The sequence below is a fragment of the Homo sapiens genome, chromosome Y, assembly GCF_000001405.40.
Source record: "Homo sapiens chromosome Y, GRCh38.p14 Primary Assembly".
Lineage (NCBI taxonomy): Eukaryota > Metazoa > Chordata > Mammalia > Primates > Hominidae > Homo > Homo sapiens.
The window spans coordinates 26,171,248-26,177,009 of NC_000024.10; positions in this window are offsets into that span (position 1 = coordinate 26,171,248).

The following is a 5,762-nucleotide window of genomic DNA, read 5'->3' on the forward strand; positions in this document are numbered from 1 at the left end:
TCAAAAACAATAAATTATGTCTGCATCTGAAAGAAAGTAAAATGTACTGATGAGCTTGAACTAGGGAATGAAAACTTTGGTTCTATATGTTTAATTAGTTTCTAATTTCTCTGTAATCTCATCATGAGTCTCTAACAGGAAATAATATTGACCATACATTTGGTACAATTAGGTGCTCATATCTTAGATCATTCTCAAGGGGCTCACTAAATTATTTACTAAGCCTAATGTATTACCAATGCAGGTTTAACTCCACCTCTAGTGTAACTGTAAAATTCAGTGAGTAAGCAGTGCCCTGTGATCATCATGGGCTTGTTGTTAGAGATAAGTGAATAGAGTGCCTTGCACAGTGTCTATAAGGAAATACTGTATCACCTTGCCCTGCTCCATTAAAGGAATGAGGGTTTACATCATATTCCACACAAGGAAAACATTTTTAAATGCTTCATTTTCCCTAAGGTAAACCACAATGACAACAACAACAACAAGAAAAACAGACTCATTCTGTCTGGTTCCAAAAATTAAATCAAATCTTGAGCTTTTCTGTAAGTTACTGACTCCCTAACAAAAATAATTTTATCTTGGCCTTTGAAATGTTGATATATAAAAATGGGAGAATGTCATCTAATTTGACAATAATTCAAAGAAGTTATTAATTGTCCATCATGAACATTACAGCTTTGATAAATTAAATATCTAGTCATTTTTTTTTAATTTTACAGCAAGTTCTGTTAAAACCTGTACTCCAATTAATAATTTTCTGCAAATGAATTTATTTTCTTTTCTAAATGACTTAGTCTCTGAGTCTTTGACATTTGATTTCCAGTGAGTGCCCATAAACTGTTTTATATTACCGTTGTTATGAACATGGCAGTCATTTTCATAGTTCATAAATATGCATAGATTCAAATATGTACTATCTATGATAAACTTTTCTTTTTTTATTATACTTTAAGTATTAGGGTACATGTGCACAACGTGCAGGTTAGTTACATATGTATACATGTGCCATGTTGGCGTGCTGCACCCATTAACTCATCATTTAACATTACGTGTGTCTCCTAATGCTATCCCTCCCCCCTCCCCCCACCCCACAACAGGCCCTGGTGTGTGATGTTCCGCTTCCTGTTTCCATGTGTTCTCATTGTTCAATTCCCACCTATGAGTGAGAACATGCAGTGTTTGGTAACTTTTAAGCGGTGATTATTCTGGTGACTTTAGCAGAGCCAGGAGACTCTAAACAAACAATTTACTTCAGTTATTTTTGCTGTATAAACAGTGATGCATGTTTCCTCCAAGGTTCAACTGAGCATTCAACTGAGTATTCTTATGACTAGTCCATGAAGAAACAATATGATCACCTAAAAACAAACCCAGCTGAAACATGCAGGAAACACTAATTTTGAATATATGGTTATCATTTATTGCATATTTATTCACCAAGCACTGTCTTGATAAAAACTGTAAGATATGTCAATCAGCCTTAATAGACTGACTCTACAGGAGTGACTAATCACTCCCCATAGGTAGGCCTTTCTTACCTGGACACACTGTTTGTTCTGGATATGCTAACCACTTTAAAGACGTTGATGATTCTAAACACTCATTCAGGTACCAGTGCATGATCTGTTAGGAACTGGCTGCACAGCAAGAGGTGAGTGGCTGGCAGGCCAGCAAAGCTTCATCCGTATTTACAGCCACTCCTCATTGCTTGCATTACTGCCTTAGCCCCACCTCCTGTCAGATCAGAAGTGACATTAGATTATCATACCCCGTGGTGAACTGTCTATGCGAGGGATCTAGATTGTGCACTCTTATGATTATCTAATGCCTGATGATCTGTCACTGTCTGCCATCACCCTGGGACAGAAAGCAAGTTCAGGCCTCCCACTGATTCTACATTATGGTGAGTTATATAATTATTTAATTATATATTGCAGTGTTGTAATAATAGAAATACCGGTACAGAATAAATGTAATGTTCTTGAATCATCCCAAAACCATCAGCTCCCCACCCATGATCTGTGGAAAAATTGTCTTCCATGAAACCAGTCCCTGGTACCAGGAAGTTTGGGAATGTCTGCTCCAGACCAACCACTCCAGAGAAACTATAATGACTGAGCCATATCAGCGACCTGAGAAACTAAAAATTCTAAAAACACAAAACAATCTGCACAAAAGACTACTACCACAGCCTCCCAGGAGAACTTGACCTGCTCTACATTCTCACAGAGATGAAAGGGCCCATCCAAGTAGAAATTTCAAGTAATCTCTAAGTAGGTTACCTGCTACCTTTTATGTATATAAAATAAGTACACTTTCTTCAGGTTTATGTGAGTATTGTTTCACATAATAAATCCCACTGAGTACTCAGACACCCTCTGAACTTGTAAAAATGCTGCCTGTTAACTTATCAATGTTGTTGCTGTCTAATGAAGGATAAGCAATAATTGTTTATAAAATTTTAATGCTTGTCTTAGTGCTTCTTTATTTAATCTTTTAAAAATTCAGTCAGCTACTGTTTACGTGTGTACTATTAATATGTCCTCTCTTTAGAACCTGATAAAAAGAAAGCTGGACATAAGAATGCTTTTACTACTATGGTTTCCATAAGGATAAACTTGGACAGAAACTGTTAGTACATTCTAAAGCATATATTTAGTAAAATAATATGCTATCACCAGTAATTTTATTACTAAGCTAATTAAGTTTTGTATCTAAGATGAATGGGATTATTAGAAATTAATTACTTGAATAAAGAGAATGCATTCATGTTTTAGTATGAACTTTAGTATGCCAATTTTCTAAAGAGTTCGGTTAATGTTACTCATTCATCATTCTGTTCCACAGTTTGTTGAGCATGTACTGCACATTTGGAAATTGGAGATCCATAGGTTGATGCACAATATATGAAAACTACCTTCTCTGACATAAAAAATATTACACATTTTTATGTCAAACACAAGCATGATATGAAAACATACTTTTAACGACACTTTCAAGTCTAAACTCTCCTGAAACTGACATTCATTCAAATTTCTCAATAAGCTTACACACACAATTTTTATCCTAGCATCCATTGTTTTCCATACCATTCTGCAATTAAAATATTTCACTGCAAAATCTACTCAATATTGTATTTTCCTCTGCACCGTTTCTTCATGCCAGAGAAAATGAAGTAATGTAAGGAAAAGCTACAAGAGATTGGAGAGAAAGTGTAACACGAGCTGAGCCCTGAAAGGAGAATGGAACTCCAACCAATTGTAGAAAGGATTCGACTCTCAGGCAAAGGAACTTAGAATCAATTTCATGGTAACCTCAGAACCTTCATATTTTCTCTTTCTGTCTTACTTTCTTTTGTGCAAGTCCTTTCTTAGTTTCCAGGTGTGGGAGCTTTGCCTGCATTGTTACTTTGATTCAGAAGTCATCAAAAAATTTTTAAAAAGAGTTTCAATCCAGCAGTTAATAGATGGAATATGAATAAGAAACCAGCAAGGATTGTTTTTATTTTGTTTTATTTTATTTTTTCCTACTTTCATAAAGCTAAGTGAAACACTTCAGATTTAAGAAATTCTCCTCTTTCCTGGAGCAAAATTAAGCTCTAAAGTTCAGAGGCAAGTAGAAAATCAAGCATCACTTCCCCTCTGACTACAAGCAAAAGAAAACAAACCTTGCAGCCAGGATAGCAGGAATCTGGCTGGGTAAAACCGCATCAAAGCTGCTCTGTAGATCAACCAGCGATGCATCTCAAGTGGTAATCTGGGAGCATGCCACCACCATAACGCTTTCAACCCTAGTAAGCAAATACCCACTTCTAAGATGAAATCTGTCTTCTTTGAGTAACCCTCAGAGCCCATAATGTTGTCAAACCAAAAAGAAAGCATCTTTTCTCATCCTATTCCCATTATAAATTAGACATGTTTTGTAAATAAATACTGCTTAACATTGCCTAGTTTCTAACCCATGCAAAAGTTTTATAGGTTCTAAAGTTATGTGCATTCTGAGATAGGTATACTAATGCAATACCTAAACTTGTTTTTACTAACCTTGCTTTTACTAACCTTGTTTTTAGACTCTCCCTTTCTCCCTTAATCACCTAGCCTTGTTTCCATGTGAATATGCTCTCCCTTAGCTATGAAAGCCAGACGAACTCCATTTGGCTCCTTCATTTACAAGATATCAAGGACTCCTTACCCACCCCCTTTCCTCAAGGAGTTAACTTGTGTAAGCTGATTGTCTACGCATCAAAGAGTCCAATTAACTGAAGCAAGCAATGCACAAAGCAAGGTACTGAAGCAAGCAATGTACAAAGTTCCCAGGATTTCACTCAAGAGATAACACCATAAAGCCTTGAGTTTGTGTTCAGCAGAGCCACCATACCTGACATCTTATAATATATTTAGAGCCCCTGCACCTGGAACTGTTTATTTCTCTGTAACCATTTGTCTTTTTAATTTTTTGCATGTTTTTACTTCTGTAGAATTGTTGCAACTGAGCCCCCTTCCCCTTCCTAAACCAAGGTATAAAGGAAAATCAAGCCCCTTCCTCGGGGCCGAGAGAATTCTGAGCGTTATCCGCCTCTCGGCTGCCGGCTAAATAAAGGACCCTTAAATTCATTTCAAAGTGTGACATTCCTCTAACTCGCTTGGGTACAACACTAATGGAAAATGTATCATGATATGCTGTATACCTTTTCAAAGGTAAAATAAATATATAATTGCAGAACCATATATTAATCTTTCAGAGGTATACAGAGAAATGCAGAGGCATGCAATTAAACCTATGATGAATATAAATAAATGAGAAAAAGGAAGAAAAATCACAGACTGTAGTGATATAATAAGAGTCATAGTTGTTTTCTTTTACTTTCATGTTTGTAAAAACGTAGTAATTGTTGGGTACCTGAAAATGTGATACTAATTCCCTTAATTACATGGTACTAAATATTTTCTTCCAAGGTTTTTATAGCCTTTAGTTTAGACAAAATTAAGTTTACCTGATGCAAATCATTTTAAAGGAGAATTTGTTTAGCAAATACTACTTTGTAATTGTAGGAAAAGTTTTTTTAATTATAATTTGTTTACATTGATCAATTTTAAAACTAGTGGAAATTTTGAATAAAGACACTTCCTGTGAAAAAAGAAAACAGCTCAGTGTATATTATATCTAAAATGCTACTAGCTTGCTTCTCCTTCTAAAAGACATAAATCTTAATCATGAGGAATAATTTTCAAATATACTCTTAAGAAGTACAAAAATGGTTTGGGAAAACTGGCTAGCCATATGCAGAAAACTGAAACTGGACTTCTTCCTTGCACCACTTACAAAAGTCCACTCAAGATAGATCAAAGACTTAAATGTTACAACTAGGACCTTTAAAATCCTAGAAGAAAACCTGGTCAATGCTATTCAGGACAAAGGCATGGGCAAAGAATTCATGTCCAAAACACTGAAAGCAACAGCAACAAAAGACAGAATTGACAAACGGGATCTAATTAAACTAAAGAGCTACTGCACAGCCAAAGAAACTGTCATCGGAGTGAACAGCCAACCTACGAAATGGGAGAAAATTTTGCAATCTATTCATCTGACAAAGGGCCGATATCCAGAATCTACAAAGAACTTACACCAATGTACAAGAATAAAACAAATAACCCCATCAAAAAGTGGGCAAAGGATATGAACAGACACTACTCAAAAGAAGACATTTATGCAGCCAGCAGATACATGAAAAAATGCTCATTATCACTGGTCACTAGAAA